Source organism: Homo sapiens, chromosome 2 (genome assembly GCF_000001405.40).
Source record: "Homo sapiens chromosome 2, GRCh38.p14 Primary Assembly".
Lineage (NCBI taxonomy): Eukaryota > Metazoa > Chordata > Mammalia > Primates > Hominidae > Homo > Homo sapiens.
The window spans coordinates 234,157,258-234,175,100 of NC_000002.12; the positions used below are offsets into that span (position 1 = coordinate 234,157,258).

A 17,843-nucleotide genomic window follows, 5' to 3' on the forward strand; every position below is an offset into this window, starting at 1 on the left:
ATATATCTGTAGACTTTTCACATTGCTTCAAGGGCTGTTTACATTAAGATTAAAAAAAAAAAAACTACTCTTTTATCATCTTACATATTTAGTTTTTTTTTTTTTTTTTTGAGACGGAGTCTCGCTCTGTGGCCCAGGCGGGAGTGCAGTGGAGCAATCTCGGCTCACTGCAAGCTCCGCCTCCCGGGTTCACGCCATTCTCCTGCCTCAGCCTCCCGAGTAGCTGGGACTACAGGCGCCCGCCATCACGCCCGGCTAATTTTTTTGTATTTTTAGTAGAGACGGGGTTTCACCGTGTTAGCCAGGATGGTCTCGATCACATATTTAGTTTTTAACCCAATTTTGTAAGATCAGGTCTGCAAACCTGTAATTACCTGTGTAATTAAAGTGAGATATATCATTAAAATATTCAATTTTTTTTAAAAAAATTCCTTTTTGTTTCTGTAAAAATCATGTCTGCTTATTTTTTAGAATTTAAGCAGCGCAGAAAGAGTTGAAAGAGAAAAGTTAAAGAGAAAAATCATCAAATTTCTGCCCTTGAGAAATAACCATTTTAGATTTAAGGAAAATAAATACAAGCCCCAACAAAAGATTCTTAATAATTGAAGATATAGCTAAGTAAAAAGGATTTCCAAAATACACTCACACTAATTATATTTAGAGTTTGCAGTTTGATTAGAACTGCCTACAGGGTGTGATTTGAGGCCTCTTTGCTAAAACATAATTCTCCCGGGCTGTCAGAGGTGTATGAAAAGCCCCTCCCCCATCCCCTCCCTAAGGTTTCACTCCAGCTTCAAGATTCTGCTGACCTTGGGCAAATCACCCCATCTCTCTAGTCCTCAGACTCTTCAGTTTCAAAATGAGGGGGCTGGACCAAGTCATCCCTGAAGGCCCCTCCATGACTGACAGTCTAGGGGCTGTTTTCCCTGTTAAATTGGAAAGTGTCCTATGAGGTGCTTGGATGGTATGAATGGAAGTGGAGATCTCAGAAATATGGGGGTAGGAGGAACTCAGGGGAACCACAGGCTGTGTGATTCCCCTGAGTTCATCTAACCCTATAGGAGGAACGGGAGGAATGAATGGAGGAAATGCAGATACTTGGGACAAAGGTGAAAGGAGAGAGAGAGAGAGAGAGAGAGAGAGAGACAGGACCAAATTTAGAAAATTTCATTTCTTCCACAATTTAATCTATGGTTGACCTAAATTTTATTGTTCGTGTCTTTGATTGCAAGTACATTAAAAATGATAATTATATAGGCAATTAAAGCCTGAAATTAACCAAAAAAAAGAAAGGTACACATTAATGATAGGTCTTTAGATTATACCAAGTCTTCCTGCATTTCCAGTCCTGATTGTTTTCAGATTGTAACCAATTGTCAGAGAGGTAGAGGATCAGACAAACTTCTAATGCAGGTGTCAGAGGAAACAAAGACCAATCCCAAAGTGAGAACAAAGCTTCACTACACAGGAAAAGTAAGTCAAGGCACACACACGTGCCTCAGTTTATAAGAGTTGGATGATCCTATCTTGTTGGTTTGCCTTTGTGAATTCTTTGCATATCGAAGAATTCCCATGGTTTGCACAATGAGAGGATGTGTGGTCAAGTAATAGATTTATCAGCAAACCCACCCCACTAAACAAGAAGGTTTCAAACTTAGTCAGTGTTGTTGATTTATTTACTGTGGGGCTGCTTCACTAAAAGGTAAGCTACCGGCAGTCAGGGACTTGGTCTGGTTGGTTCCCTGCTGTGTTCTCTGGGTCTGAACAGAGCCTGGTTCAATAAACATTTGTGAATGATGAGCCCCAGGGTTTGCCTGAAAAGAGGACTTCCTGCTGAAGATGGATGACTCACAAAGTAATTAGGACAAAAAATTATTTCAAGTTCTTGTTCTACATCCCAAGGATGATGAAAACCCCGCCCCGCAAAGCATGGCTGAAATAGAATATCCTAACAGCCTTAGTGAGCCTTACTGAGTGGGGGCCTGAACCAAATTTATTTAAGAATATAAAGATGTGTGTTACAGTTACCCATAGCTGCAGAACAGACCACTCCAAATGTAGTGGGGTGATGATGTTTTAAAAGGTTCACCTACAGGGAAGGAAGGGTGGAAGCAAGAGGAACAGCTCAGAGGCTTTTATTGCAATACTCCAGGCCAGAGGTGGGGTGGCTTGGATCAGGGTGGTGGTGGTGAAAATGGGATAAACAGTTGGAACTCAGACATGTTTGGATATCTTTTGAGGGTGTAGCCAATGGGATTTGCTGGTGCATGAGATGTGGAATACGAGAAAAAGAAGACTCAGAGATGATTCAAACTCTTTAGCCTGAGCAATTAGAAAGATGAAGTTGCCATTTATTAAAATCGGGAAAGCCATCAAGGGGAATAAACTGAGGTGGGGGAACATTAGAGTCTGGCTTTGGACATGTTAAACTTAAGAGGTCGTGTTGATCAATTTTTGCATTGCTATAAAGAAATACCTGAGGCTGGATAATGTATAAAGAAAAGAGGTCTAATTGTCTCATGGTTATGCAGGCTATATTATAGGAAGCATGGTGCCAGCATCTGCTTGGTTTCTGATGAGGTCTCAGGGAGTTTTTACTCATGGCAGAATGCGAAGCAGGAGGAGCATATCATATGGTGGGAGTGGGGGGAACAGTGCCACACTCTTTTATTTTTTATTTTATTATTATTTTTTGAGATGGCGTCTCGCCCTGTCGCCCAGGCTGGAGTGCAGTGGTGCAGTCTCCGCTCACTGCAAGCTCCGCCTCCCGGGTTCACACCATTCTCCTGCCTCAGCCTCCCGAATAGCTGGGACTACAGGTGCCCACCACCACACCTGGCTAATTTTTTGTATTTTTAGTAGAGACGGAGTTTCACCGTGTTACCCAGGATGGTCTCAATCTCCTGACCTTGTGATCTGCCCACCTCAGCCTCCCAAAGTGCTGGGATTACAAGCATAAGCCACCATGCCCGGCCTATTTTTTATTTTTGAGATGGAGTCTTGCTCTGTTGCCCAGGCTGGAGTGCAGTGGCATGATCTTGGCTCACTGCAAGCTCCACCTCCTGGGTTCAAGCAATTCTCATGCCTCAGTCTCCAGAGTAGCTGGGATTACAGGGGCCTGCCACCACACCCAGCTAATTTTTGTATTTTTAGTAGAGACTGTGTTTCACCATGTTGGCCAGGCAGGTTTCGAACTCCTGACCTCAGGTGGTCCACCTGCCTTGGCCTCCCAAAGTGCTGGGATTACAGGCATGAGCCAATGCGTCCAAACTCATAGAGTGAGAACTCACTCATTACCTCAAGGAGAGGACCAAGCCATTCATGAGAGATCCATTCCCATGATTTAAATGCCTCCAGGCCCCCTCCAACATTGGAGATCACATTTCAAAGTGATATTTGAGGGCGCAAATATCCAAGCCATATCAGATGTTAACTACACGTCTGAATGAAAGCGTTGAGTAGGCAGTTGGATAGGGGACTGGAGTTAAAGGAAGAGGAACAGTTTAGAATTACAGATTAGGGAGCTGTCAGCACAGAGGATGCCTCAAGCCATGAGGCTGAATGACATCTCTAGGCAGTGAATGTGGATAGAGAGGAGAGGGGACTCAGCTGTTCCAAAATGAAGAGGTTGGGGATTTGAACGGAACCATTGAGGTGACCGAGGAAGTGCTCTACTGAGGCAGGAGGGAACTGGGAGCAGCCTGGCGTCTGGAGGATGAGGGCAGAAAGTGCACCAGGAAGGAGGAAGTGATTACTAGGTCAAAAACTGCTGGCAGATTAGGGAAGATGGCTAAGGGATGGATTGTTGGTTTTAGCAATATGAGGGTCCCTGGTGACCTCAAGAGAGCAGCTCCACAGAGAGGATGGGGGTAAAAGCCTAAATGGAGAGGGTTCCAGAAAGAAGGGGAAACCTTGAATGAAGACAATTATTTGAGGAAATATGTTACAAACAGAAGTGGCAAAATGGGTTAGTTGCTGGAGGAGAATGTGGGTCAAAGGAGTTTTTATGAATACGGAGGACACGATAGCGTGTTTTTGTGCAGATGGGAGTAATCTCATAGACAGAGAAAAGTGGATGATGCAGCACGCAAAGGGGAGAGAATCCCCGAGTGTCGTTGAGTAGCCTGAGTGGGGACAAGGCCCAGAGCAGAAGTGGAGGCACTGGCCTGGAAGAGTGCAAGCCCCCTGGAGGCAGAGGGTGGGGACCACCCTAGCACTGAGCCCAGCACCTGATGCACCAAAATATTGTCTGAACAAATACAATACAGCAATCATAATGATAGCCGCTGTTATGGAGCACTCACTGAACATTAGGTGCTGTCGTAGGCACTCTGCTGGGGTGAACTTGTCCAGCTCGCACAAGGCCCTATGTGGCGGGAATGACAGGTATTCTCTTTCCACAGATGGGGTGCTGAGGTGGCCCAGTTTCTTGCCAAATGCAGAGAGCTAGGAAGAGGCAGATCAGTATTCAAAGCCAGGCACCCGGAACATTTCTAAGTTAGGCTATTTGCCTTGGAGTTCCAAAATGTGGTCGGAAAGTCCTCTGTTAAAGAGTGTAAATACAATTCCCATAGAATAAATATCTTAAAATAAATATGAAGGACCACTCTCATCCCCCCTGACTGGAGTGAAAACCACTCAGCTTGAGACAGGGTGCCAGGGTGTCGGTAACCCCCTGGGGACCCCCTCCTCCCTCAGCCTGTGCTCCTCCTGCTGTTTCGTTCCCCAGAGCCTGAAGCCTCTCCAAGGTGTTTGTCTATGACTTGTCATTAGTAATATTATTAATGCCTTGGACTCATCGGTTTCCTAAGATGATTGATTTGGAGAAAGCTGCTATTGTGAATGATTCAGAACACTTAGTGACTGAGCACGTTTGCTGATGAAAGGTGTGGCCCCATTTACTGTGTGCCGTGCTGATGACTGCACTCTGTTCACTGGGTTCATTGGCTGAATGACTGAGATGGGCCCTGTTATCAGCCTCACTTTACAGACAAGAAAACCGAGTGTCAGGAGGTTAAGTTACTAGTTCAAGACTGTACACCACTAAGTGAATTGAACTCGGTTCTTGCTGACTCCAAATCCCATTCTCGGTCTTGTCTCTTGTTGTGACAGGGATGGCGCCCCCACTCTGATCACACTACTGAGAGCCACCAGGTGTTCTCTGGAGCCCCATGAATGTCTTGACAAATGACCTGAGTGTGTGTAGTAAAAGCTAACTCCTGCCACTGCATATTCTAGATACTGTGCCATTGTTTCCTTGAGAGAAACGAATTGAACTCATCCAGTATCTAGAGTTTTCAAACTCTCCTTAGAGGAAAAAGCACATTGCCCTCCCAGTCCCTAGTCTGCCCTCCCAGTCCCTAGTCTGGTGAGTAACCAATGCACTCACATCTATGAGGAAGCGACCCGGTCCTGCCCCTCCCACCAATGTGCTGCCGGAGCCCTCCACAACAAACAGGTCTGGAGAGCCACTGAGTGAGGAGGCCACAACAGAGCCCTGATGAACCATCTAGGAGCACATTGCTGAAGGCCCTACCATCCCTTTTACGTATTTTATCTTATGCACACACAGATTTACTCTTCAATTACAATGTCAATGTTGTGATTTATTCATGCTGCAATTTCAGGCCCCAGGACAAGCATTAGGTGAGTTGTCTTTGGGTAGGAGTCTCTCTTCAGACTGCTCAAAATACTCTAGATTTATGTCTCTACTATTCAGAATGAGCTTGACTTCAACCTTTCTACATCACCAGTTGTAGACAGGAACATGTTTACAGTTGCACAGTGAGACAGCCCGAGGGGTTGAAGAATTTCTGCAAACCTGCAAGGCAGGGTGGCTCATACCAGATTCCAGGGTCATAAGCAGGCAAAGGGAGAAATCAGATATCTGGATCAGGCTACCATTCCAGAGTGTACCAAAAAAGATGGTGTGTGTGTGTGTGTGTGTGTGTGTGTGTATGTGTGTGGTGTGTGTATGTTGTGTGTGTGTATATGGATGTTGTGTGCGTCTGGGTGTTGTGTGGATGGGCATGTGCACACATATATGTCTGCTTGTCGGGGGAGAGAGTTAAAGCAGATATGTAAACCTGGCTCAATGTGAAGCAGACAGGCAGTCCAGAGAGGTAGAACATAATACATGTCCAGCCAGGTGGTCCTGGAAGCCCGGGAACAGATGGGGGTAAACAGCTGAGCTCCAGAGGACTGGCTACACCTGTCCAGGTGAGGGCCATGATGGCCAGGCTCATGGGACGACTGAAAAGTGGACAGTAATTTGGAGATCAACATCATAGGAGTAACTCCAGATTGAGTATTGCTGGAGGGAAACTGAAGACCCGGGGAGGGAGACATGAAGTCAAGCTTTCTCTGTCTCTTTCCCAGTGAGGATTAGAGTAAAATACAATTACATGCAATATCGTCTATCTTATCTGATCCTCTTTGGATCTGAGCTGTAATTTTCCCCCTGAAACCTTCTATGCATTATGGGTTTGGCATTTCCATTTATCTTCCAGTAACTATTTACATTTGCATCTGTTCATCTCTAAATAGTTTCTCTTTCTTTTTCCCTGACATCTTAAGCTTTTTGTCTCTCAAATGACAACCGCACACACAAAAGAAATGCCTGACTCTGCACTCACATTTGGCTTTATTATGAATTCTGCTCCGTAGACAAATTTATGAATCCCAGGGTTCTCCCTCGAACTCATCTCATTAGGATTAGAGGCAGAAATGTTCGTATCTTTCGCATAAATAATGCATGCCACAATGGCTAGCTGCTGCTTGATGGAGCCCATTTCTTCTCCTATTTCATTTACAACAAAGGATCACAGTGATTACCTTACCTGGAGACCCACTCGGGAGCCCTGGAGCCTCAGGAATAAGGGGGAGAAGACTGAAGGAGACTAGCCCGGGCAACACCAAATCCAACTGGAAGCCACGGAGGCAAAGGCTTCGGTCTCGTGGGCACCGGTCCCACCTAGGGATGAACTCAGCTGTGAGCCAGACCTGGGTCACCAATGCCAAGACACTGAGGCTCTCTATATGGTGACCTTCTTATGACCTTGGCCGTGTCCTGGGGGAGGATTTGTGAGTTTCTCCATGTAGGTGACTAAATCACAAAAGAGACAAGGCACCTTGAAGGCCTACTGGGGCTTTGATTACTTGAGGGAAAGACCACCCCTTGCAGGCCTTGGGCAAAACCTTTAGCTTCTGAAACACACAGCAGGGGCAGTTGTCCCATCAGAGCAGCCCAGTGGTGCAGCGCAAAGAAAGGCTTGATTTTGAATACTGGCTCTGCCACTATGAGCAAGTCATGTAGCCCTTCAGAGTCTTTGCCTCCTCATCTGTCAACTGGGCTAACGGCACTCAGCTGAGAGTCTGGTACTGGGGTAAACGAGCCGCTGCGCCGTGACTGCACCGTGAGGGCACTGGGGTGATGGCTGGCACGTGGTTTCCTGCTTCCTCTGAGGCCAGTGCCAGGTCTCAAGGGATGGCTGTCAGGCACAGATTGAATATAAGGGGGAGGAAGAAAGTTCAGTTCCCCTTTGAGATTTATCTCACCTCTTTTTTCAGCTGTTTTGCTCTTGTGACTACTCTTGGGGTCCGCTGAACTGGAACCTAAAAGCCAGGAGCTGAGAAAAGCCTGGGGGCGAGGCTTTAAAATCGCATTGCCAACTCTGCACTGATGGATAAAAGTAGGTGACTCAGAGGTCCATGGAGATCATGGGCGAGCAGCCGAGGGTCCATGGAGATCATAGGGAAGCAGCCAAGGCTGCATCCATCCCTCGGGTTCCCTTTCTTTTTTTTTTCCTTTTTGTTGTTTTTAGGGGTACATGTGCAGGTTTGTTATATGGGTAAATTTCGTGTAGCAGGAGCTTGGTGTACAGATTATTTCATTACCCAGGTGATAAGCGTAGTACCCAACAGGCAGTTGATCAGTCCTCACCCTCCGCCCACCCTCCACCCTCCAGTAGGCCCCGGTGTCTGTTGTTCTCTTCTCTGTGTTCACATGTACTCAGTACTTAGCTTGCACTTATAAGTGAGAACATGTGGCATTTGCTTTTCTGTTCCTGTGTTAGATTTCAGCTTCCATTGCTCACAGTGTCCCGCCCACCCCCCACCCCCCAAGCCCCCCCTCCCCATCCCCACTTGTCTTCCCCTCCAGGAGGCACCATCACCGGCCCTGTTTCTGTGGATGCCCCAGGGCTGGATGGGGACACCCAGGCCCTCCCCTTTCCTGTGCCTGTTATTCCGGTTCTCAGCCTCGCTCAGCCTTCCTTGTAGCAAGCCACTAGCTCTTCTCCTTGCTTCCATACTTGCCTCCAATCAACCCAACCCCCTTGCTCGGCCTAGTCAGTAAATATCTGAGAAAAATATTTCCGAGCAGCCATGGATTGAAAGGCAAAGAAAACATTGAAAGGCTCACATTCTGCAGCTGTGGGAGACCACATTGAACATTCCACCCATTCTCTCTCAGATAGATGCAAGGCCCATAACTTATTCTGGTCTAGTTATTCAATTTGTGGTTCTACCAGAGTAATTCCATTTCCCATGCTCTCAGAAATATTTTAGAACAAGAACAAAAATAACCTTATGTATGTGCACACATACACGCCACCCACAAGACAAACTGGATGTGTATAGAAGATTGCTCGACTTGGCTCTGGAACACTTTTAGATGGTATCACTTTATTACACAGTGATGGGGGTCCCACATGTGTTTCTAGGTAGCATCTGGTTTACTAATAAGAGTTTGAGCTGTTTAGGGAAAGAATCGGGACATGAAGGAGTTGGAGATATTTATGTCTAGAAAGAAAAGACTTGTTCATGTGCACCCTGGGTGTGCAGGGTGCAATGGGAACTGGAGGTGTGGTGAATAAAGACCATGACTCTTTGAAAAAAACTGGAAGAGCTGCCATGTGGCAGGCACACAGACTGACTTTACCATAGAGACAGGTTGTGAGTGATGGGAAGGCAGATTTTTGTTAAATATAGAGAACAATGTTCTAATAACTATTGCTATTAAGAAACAGAATGGATTACTTTACGAGGCATGGAGTCTTCTGTTCCTAAAAGTGTTTAAGCTGAGACTAGAATTCTGCTTTGGTTATCTGTTGCTGTCCAAAAAAATTAACCCTAAACTTACTGACTTAAACAAAGCCTTTTTAATTTATTTTCTCATGATTCTGCAATCTGGGCAGGGCTCGGCAGGGGCAGTTCATATGGCATCATCTGGGTGGCTTGAGTGGGGCTGAGGGATCCACTTCAAAGATGGCCTCACTCATAGCTGGCAGGTTAGTGCTGATTGCATCTAGAAATTCAGCTGGGGCTGTGGGCTGGAGGCCTCAGTTTTCCTCCATGTGGCCTCTGCACATAGTTAGGCTGGCTTCTCAGAGCATCATGGTCACAGGTAGTTCTTATGCTGTGTCTACCTTCATCCAGACAGAAGAGAAGTTGCTAGGCCTGATTGACGTTTAAGCCCAGAACTGGCGTAGCTTCACTTCTGCAACATTCTGTTGGTTGAAGCAGGGTCACTGGGCCAGAGCAAATTCAAAGTGAGAGAACCACATAAAACGTGAATACATCATTGGAGTCCACCAAAGTTATGCTTTATCACAATGCCCAACTAGCTTTATAATACAGAACATTCATTTTCTGGGTAGAAGGTTGAAATGAGTGATCATTGATGCTTCTTGGAACTCTAAAACTCTCTGGTTAAATTTCTTTTCAACCTCCAGTGCCTAGTACAATCACAGGCACATCATGATCATTAAAACAGTACTTATTGATTGATTGATTTCACACATTTTATATTTTCAAGCTGAGACAGGGCCTCAGTCAATATCTCACAGGAACATAGCTCTCTGCAAAATAGAATGCCATTTCAAGCCAACAAATGATTACTCTTCATGCTGTAGATACAAACTTGGTCCAAAGTAATTCGTTTTGCAAATGCTGTTTTTAGACACACACGCACAAATCACTCTGGTTTATAAAATCCATGGCACAATGTAAGGAAGGATGGGAAGGTATATGCTGTTACATTACATGTATACTTTGCTACCTGAATTGGTTTTTTTTAAAGGTAAAATTTCTGTTTATTATCAATGTAAAACACACTCACTATGGCAAATGTATATGAAAATGAGCACACAAAAAAGAAAAAGAATCACTTATAATGACTTATAGGTAACTACTCCAAACTTTTTATGCATATTTTAATATAGATTAACCTAATAGGTTTATATTATTATTTCATTTAACTTCACCGTAACTTATTTTCTATGATACTAAAAAATTCTATATTGAAATAATATATTTTGTGTCAAAATATTTAATAATATTAAAATCCTTACACTTTTTTTTTTCAAGATGGAGTCTTGCTCTGTCATCCAGGCTGGAGTACAGTCACGCAATTTCAGGTCACCCCAACCTCCGCCTCCCGGGTTCAAGCAATTCTCCTGTCTCAACCTCCCGAGTAGCTGGGATTACAGGCACACACCACTACGCCTGGCTATTTTTTGTATTTTTAGTAGAGACGGGATTTCACCATGTTGACCAGGCTGGTCTCAAACTCCTGACCTCATGATCCACCCGCCTTGGCTTCCCTAAGTGCTGGGATTACAGGTTTGAGCCACCATGCCTGGCCACAAATGCTTTTTAATTATTGCAAAATATATATAATTCTGCCATATGGAGATACCATAATTTACTTATTGTGCTTATCTTAGGTTTAAAATTGTTTAAAAATTGTTAACACTAAATATCATCATATTATACATTTTTCTGCATAAAGACTTATTTAGAAATATGAAGGGGTGGGTTGCCCCTCCACACCTGTGGGTGTTTCTCGTTAGGTGGAATGAGAGACTTGGAAAAGAAAAAGACGCAGAGACAAAGTATAGAGAAAGAAATAAGGGGGCCCAGGGGACCAGCATTCAGCATATGGAGGATCCCACCGGCCTCTGAGTTCCCTTAGTATTTATTGATCATTCTTGGGTGTTTCTCGGAGAGGGGGATGTGGCAGGGTCATAGGATAATAGTGGAGAGAAGGTCAGCAAATAAACACATGAACAAAGGTCTCTGCATCATGAACAAGGTAAAGAATTAAGTGCTGTGCTTTAGATATGCATACACATAAATATCTCAATGCCTTAAAGAGCAGTATTGCTGCTCGCATGTTCCACCTCCAGCCCTAAGGAGGTTTTTCCCTATCTCAGCAGATGGAACATACAGTTGGGATTTATACCGAGACATTCCATTGCCCAGGGACGGGCAGGAGACAGATGCCTTCCTCTTGTCTCAACTGCAAAGAGGCATTCCTTCCTCTTATACGAATCCTCCTCAGTACAGACCCTTTACAGGTGTGGGGCTGGGGGACGGTCAGGTCTTTCCCTTCCCACGAGGCCATATTTCAGACTATCACATGGGGAGAAACCTTGGACAATACCTGGCTTTCCTAGGCAAAAGTCCCTGCGGCCTTCCGCAGTGTTTGTGTCCCTGGGTACTTGAGATTAGGGAGTGGTGATGACTCTTAACAAGCATGCTGCCTTCAAGCATTTGTTTAACAAAGCACACCCTGCACAGCCCTTAATCCATTTAACCCTGAGTTGACACAGCACATGTTTTCAGGGAGCATAGGGTTGGGGGTAAGGTTATAGATTAACAGCATCTCAAGGCAGAATAATTTCTCTTAGTACAGAGCAAAATGGAGTCTCTTATGTCTACTTCTTTCTACACAGACACAGTAACAATCTGATCTCTCTTTCTTTTCCCCGCAGAAATATATTTTAAAATACACTTCAAAGAGATGTATTAACATTACATATTTTATTCCGTAAACATTTATTGAACACCTACTATGTCTAGACACATTGATAGGCTAATAAAAAACACCTATATATTGATTGTTCACTTACTATGCATCAGGTACTATATTAAAGGATCTACAATTAGTTTGCTAAGGCTTTTGTAACAAATTCCACAAACATGGTGGTGAGACAGACATTGTCTCACAGCTCTGGAGGCTGGAAGTAGGGCTGTGCTCCTTCTGAGGACTCTAAGAAAATACGCTTCCTGGCCTCTTTCCAGCTTCTGGTAGTTGCCAGCAATTCTTGACATTCTTTCACTTGGTCCTAAGTAATAGCTACTTATGATAGGGTCATTCCACTCTGTGTCTCTGTTACCATATAGCCATCTTCCCTCTGTGTGCCTCTGTGTCCTAATTTCCCTCTTCTTACCCTAATCCAATGTGACCTCATCTTAACTTGATTACAGCTGCAAATATCTTATTTCCGAATAAGGTCACCTTCACAGATTTCAGGTGCACATGCATTTTTGGAGGACAGTATTCATTCTAGGCAGCATTCCATGAATAATATTTTCTGATCCTCACAATTACTCTCTTGGGGTAAGTATGTTGATCATCCTGGGGCTTAGAGAAGCCAATTATCTTTTCTAGGGTCATACAACCAGGAAACTGTGGGGCAGGTGTTCAAAGCCAGAAGCTCCAGCTCCAAGGTCCCACTTGCAAACACCAGCTCTACTGCTAGAGGGGCTGTTTGTATCAGAGGCCAACAGGTTAGAAAAACCAACAAAAGTGATTTGCTTGCCCAGTCAAGGGGATCATGAATCCCCAGCCCTGTGGGTTACAATGAGCTCACTTTTCGTTTTTCTCTGTCATGAAAGTGGAAACCTTGGAAAAGCTGAAGAATGAAGAGGGGAGGATTGAACAGGGACCCTTGGAACTGTAGGTAGTAAGGCCAGGGAAGCCCTGCCAGGTGTTCAGAACTAGCTGCAGCCACAGTAGGAAGCCAGCCATGGGACACTGAGGTGTTCTGGGGCTGGAAGGGCTGTGGGATGGTTCCAAGCTGTGCCAATGCTAGAGGCAGCAGAAGTGGAGCTTACAGCCAATGAGGTGCTCCTTTCCTAATGAATATTTGCGTCTCTCCTCCCATCCCATGAGAACACGTGGACTGCCTTAAAAATAGCATCAGTCAAGCCCCTCTTAGCTTAATTTCCACGTTCACAACCTGAATGTGCAGTTCTAAACTTGGAACTGACAAAAGGCGGCCGAAAGATTGCTTTTCAGAAAATAATGAGCTTAATGGGCCCTTTGACAAATGGTAGAGATTTTCATTTTCTACTGTCCCTTTGTTTGAACTATTTTCTGTTTTTTTTTTTTTTTTTTTTTTTGAAACGGAGTCTCGGTCTGTCGCCCAGGCTAGAGGGGCAGTGGCGCGATCTCGGCTCACTGCAAGCTCCCCCTCCCGGGTTCACGCCATTCTCCTGCCTCAGCCTCCCAAGTACCTGGGACTACAGGCACCCGCCACCACGCCTGGCTAACTTTTTTTTGTTGTTGTATTTTTTAGTAGAGACGGGGTTTCACCGTGTTAGCCAGGATGGTCTCCATCTCCTGACCTGGTGATCTGCCCTCCTCGGCCTCCCAAAGTGCTGGGATTACAGGCGTGAGCCACCGTGCCTGGCTAATTTTTTGGTATTTTTAGTAGAGACAGGGTTTCACCGTGTTAGCCAGGATGGTCTCCATCTCCTGACCTGGTGATCCGCCCGCCTCGGCCTCCGGAAGTGCTGGGATTACAGGCGTGAGCCACGCGCCCAGCCTTTTTTTTTTTTTTTTTTTTTTAGGTGACATGTACATCTTTGTTTCCAACAACTGGATGTGGGTTGAAAGGAAAGCCTCTGTGAAATGAGTTTCCTGTGAAAATGAGACCTCGACCGTGCAAAGTGAAATCGTAGTAGGGAGGCTTCTGCTTTAAAGACTCAAATTGTGGAAAGGTGGTCCTCCCACTGCGCTGTTCTCAGAAAGGCGGGCAGTCGCCTGGAGGAGTGGAGAGAAGGGAGGTCGCCATCTTAAAGGGGATAGGGCTGAGTTGTCCTGGGCTCCTTCTGCCGTCCCTTGCGGTGGCGCCACAAGACCTTTGGAAGCTGGCTTCCTTGCCATCTGCTGTTTCTCACCTTAGATACTCGTTTGTGCCGTGTCTATCTTGTCTGGTTCCACTTTCAGCAAGAAAAAGAAAACTCCCTTTCAGTAGAACACTATAGGCTTTTCGGTTAAAATAGCGAAGGGAGCATATGCCTCTAACATGCCTCCCCCATCCCAATGTCAAATCCAGAAAGTAACCCAAAAGAGAAGAACATACGTGAGCGCTGGAGACCCGGGAGGGTGCATTTCAACAGCACGCCAGGAACTTCAAGGGAGTTTTGCAAAATGTTTCATGTAAGGGAAATTAGAGGGAGAGAAAGGAATGGGGACATGTTGAGGTGTGTGTGTCCCCCTCTACCTGGGGAGGCAATCGCAACCTCCATCTGTACCTTGTGGTCCATGCTACAGAGATAAGAGGCAAGGTCACGTTCTCTGCTCAGGGCTTCATGGCTGTGCCGAGGAAGGCTGGGTCACCGGACACTTCTCCAGCCGTTGTGGGGCCCCTGGTTAGCAGCCAGGGGTAGCGGCGCCCACAGCCTTACGGTGCCCCTGCCTGTCCTTGGAGATGTTGTGATGTGGGCCCCCGATGACATGCCAGGGAGGAGGAGCCACTCTCCCTCCCAGTAAGGGTCCTGGATCCGGCAGCAGGAGCAGGGGGTCCACGGAGGCCCTCATCCCAGCGTCTCCAGGTACAGGCAGGGGCGCGCTGACACTGTGGGCTCTGCCACCACCGGCTGCTAACCAGAGGCTCCACGGCCGCTAGAGAAGTGGCCAGTGACCCAGCCTGCCTCAGTACAGCTATGAAGTCTTTTGCAGAGAATGCAACTTCTGACCTGCCAAAGTGAAAAGCATGGTAAATCTGGGTTGAGACACTTTCAGCAGGATCCTACACAATCTCGCCCCGTCTCTTACAGAAGCCACCTTCACCGCCGGTGCTCCCTGGATACAGATCAGAACCCCTCTGCATGCTAAGCAAGCTAAGAAAAGCAACAGGACATCTGAAAAGCCCCGTGATGATGGCTCTGGGAGAAACTGGGCTAGGAACTCAGAGCAAATACCATCCGTATCATAACTCCCTAATTCCTGGGCGTGACATAGGCTTATTCCGGGAAGCAGGAAGAGAGCTTTGGAGTGCTCTCAATCTGTTTTCAATGGATACTGTATCTGTGAGTAGAGAATGACACGAGAGCAGAAAAAAAGGGTCTTCTGTTAAAAAGTACAACTAGTGAATTAAAAGAAGAAAAGTCAGCGGAGGCAGAGAAGGTTAGATGAGATGCCCTGAAATTCTCAGAGGAAAAGTCTGCCGAGATTAATGAAGAAAGCAAAACTGAAGAGATAAACAAGTGACAGGCATGTAGAGATAATAAGTGACAAGAAGAACAAATTTAGGAGATTCAGTATATCCATTATCAGAATGTAAACGGCAGCAAAGCTCAGAGCAGGCGTAGAAGGGTTTTCCGGTAATAGATGACATTTTATTCTCTCATACTTTAAAAATCTGTTCCATAAATGCAGTTCTGAATCACCTTGCATGTGTAAAGCTCCATATTTGGACTTTCTCTCCTGTTTTCTTAATTAGCCTTGCTAAAGAGTGACTACATTCAGAGTTTCCTAAGGATATCCATTTTTAAGTATCACCTGGAGTGTTGGCTAAGAATACGGATTTCAGGGCCTCTCCCCAAATGTTCTGGATTTTAATTTGGGGTGGTAGGAAGACCTGGAACTTTAATTTTACCAAGCATCTGAGGTTGTCTTATGATACTCTCAGTTTGGGAAACTTGCATATCATCATTGCCTTTTTGAATAATTAATTTGGATGTATTTAACAATTTTATTTAATTTTTGTAATTAATAATTTCTGATTTTGTCATCGTTATTTTTTCCTTCGGGATTTTGCTATTTTTTCTTTTTCCTCCTTTTTTAAATCTGAAGAGAAATCCTTGGCTTATTGATATTTTTCTCTCTTTTTTGCCACATAATAAAAGCTTTTAAAATAGAATTTTCATCTGGGGATAGCTTTGTTCAAATTCTACGGTTTTGTATAAGCAAAATTTCCATGGATATTGTTTTCTAAATAGGTTGTAACTACAAGATAATTCCTTTCATTAATCAAAGCATCACTTAAAAATTTTTTCACCTGGTTTTTGTTTTACTTCTAAAATTTTGTTTAAAATGCCGGTGCCGGTAAAGGCCTTAAGTGCTAGAACCAATTAGAAATTAGAATAAAAACTATGGTCCAGGCGTGGTGGCTCATGCCTGTAATCCCAGCACTTTGGGAGGCCAAGGGGAGTGGATCACCTGAGGTCAGGAGTTCAAGACCAGCCTGGCCAACATGGTGAAACCCCATCTCTACTAAAAATACAAAAATTAGCTGGGCATGGTAGTGCATGCCTATAATCCCAGCTACTCAGGGGGCTTAGGCAGGAGAATCACTTGAACCCATGAGGTGGAGGTTGCAGTGAGCCGAGATCACGCCACTACCCTCCAGCCTAGGCGATAGAATGAGACTCTGTCTCAAAAAATACATACATATAAAACATAAAATTTAAAAAAAGAAGAAAAACCTTGGTCAACCTTGACATCTAAACAAAACTATAAAGTTATTAGTATGGATGTATAAATTTGGAGATAAAATAGATTGCTAAATAGAGAAAAACGGAATCAAATTTTAGAATACATCAATGTAGAACAGGATTTCTCAAACACGACACTATCGACAATTTGGACTGGATGATTCTGGGCATGGTGTGTGGGGGAGGATGGTTCCGGGCATCATAGAACACTTAGCAGCAGCTGTGGTCTCCACCAAGAGATGCTAGTGTCATGCCCTCCATTACATCCCATGTTGTGACAACCAAAACTGTTTCCTGGGAGTCCAAATTGCCTTGAGTAAAAACCAGTGATTTAGAAAGAGGGAGGTCTATCCTTGCTCAAAGATGAATTTGGAAACTTGCAAATCTTAAATCTATCTTTGTCCCTTTCAGAATCTTTTTTCCAGCACTGGTTGGCTCCATGGGCTTTGGAGGGGAGTGTGAAGTAGGAAGGAGGTTGTACTGAAACGTACACAGTAATGTGCTCTAATCGATGCATTGATTCTCTTTCTTTTCAGTCCAGAGGAACTCACAAACCTCTCCATTCTTGGCAACAGTTTCTGAAACCAACATTATTAAATTACCAAAAAAAAAAAAAAAAAAAAAGAAGCTGGAACAATTCCTGCCAGAGAGCCCTTAATAGACCTCTCCAAAGTATTTATTTTATATCATTGAGTAGTGAGCATTTTAATCTCTCTTTTGCAGTCAATAAATTGAGGCTTGGGGAGTTTAAGCAAGGGCCCAAAGTTATGGATGTGTTTCCAAGGTAGAGGAGCTGATAAAAGGGGGTCAGGTAGCCTGACTTCCGGATGTATGCTCTGATTTCTTGGTTAAGATGAAGGGCACTTAACTGTGTCTCATTTGTCTCTTTCCCCACTGCTTGCAAAATTGCCCATAAAGTTTGTAAAACTGCGATGCTCTGCAAAATAAAAAAAAAAATCAACAGATTGCTGAAGAATATAAGGCATTTTTTCCAGATATCAGAGTTTCCTTATTCCCCTTGTCTTTCATTTTATTTCATGAAATTTATGTTTTGTTGTATGAAAGGTAAGAAAAGGAGAGTCAGAAAATACAGATGCCATTTCATCTGCTAATTCCGCTGATAGCAATCTATCTTCATGAAATGCAAGTAAAGCTATTTTGCAATAAAATATTTGTCATAATGTTATTTATAATGGCAAAACCTTTGGAAAAGGTCAAATGCCCAAGATAGGATACTGGGTTACTAAATTATGATTCGGTCACACAATGAGTTATTATAGAAATATTTTAATTTATTATTATTTTTGCAATGAAGTCTCGCTCTGTCGCTC

At 44.5% G+C, this 17,843-nt stretch overlaps 5 annotated features.

Moving 5' to 3' along the window:
- Positions 215–387: a silencer, noted in NCBI's record as "fragment chr2:235066116-235066288 (GRCh37/hg19 assembly coordinates)". NCBI's record gives its function as "represses an EF-1alpha promoter that drives an FKBP-Casp9 reporter gene in an ReSE screen in K562 erythroleukemia cells {active_cell/tissue: K562}" and the evidence as "EXISTENCE:reporter gene assay evidence [ECO:0000049][PMID:32094911]".
- Positions 6,232–7,431: an enhancer, noted in NCBI's record as "BRD4-independent group 4 enhancer chr2:235072133-235073332 (GRCh37/hg19 assembly coordinates)". NCBI's record gives its function as "activates an origin of replication core promoter dependent on BRD2, P300/CBP, MED14 and CDK7 cofactors, and independent of BRD4, by STARR-seq in HCT116 cells {active_cell/tissue: HCT116}" and the evidence as "EXISTENCE:reporter gene assay evidence [ECO:0000049][PMID:35650434]".
- Positions 6,927–7,427: an enhancer, noted in NCBI's record as "H3K4me1 hESC enhancer chr2:235072828-235073328 (GRCh37/hg19 assembly coordinates)". NCBI's record gives its function as "activates a minimal SCP1, AML or CMV promoter by ChIP-STARR-seq in primed H9 embryonic stem cells {active_cell/tissue: H9 hESC(primed)}" and the evidence as "EXISTENCE:reporter gene assay evidence [ECO:0000049][PMID:30033119]".
- Positions 11,356–11,855: an enhancer, noted in NCBI's record as "OCT4-NANOG-H3K27ac hESC enhancer chr2:235077257-235077756 (GRCh37/hg19 assembly coordinates)". NCBI's record gives its function as "activates a minimal SCP1, AML or CMV promoter by ChIP-STARR-seq in naive H9 embryonic stem cells {active_cell/tissue: H9 hESC(naive)}" and the evidence as "EXISTENCE:reporter gene assay evidence [ECO:0000049][PMID:30033119]".
- Positions 14,049–14,551: an enhancer, noted in NCBI's record as "H3K4me1 hESC enhancer chr2:235079950-235080452 (GRCh37/hg19 assembly coordinates)". NCBI's record gives its function as "activates a minimal SCP1, AML or CMV promoter by ChIP-STARR-seq in primed H9 embryonic stem cells {active_cell/tissue: H9 hESC(primed)}" and the evidence as "EXISTENCE:reporter gene assay evidence [ECO:0000049][PMID:30033119]".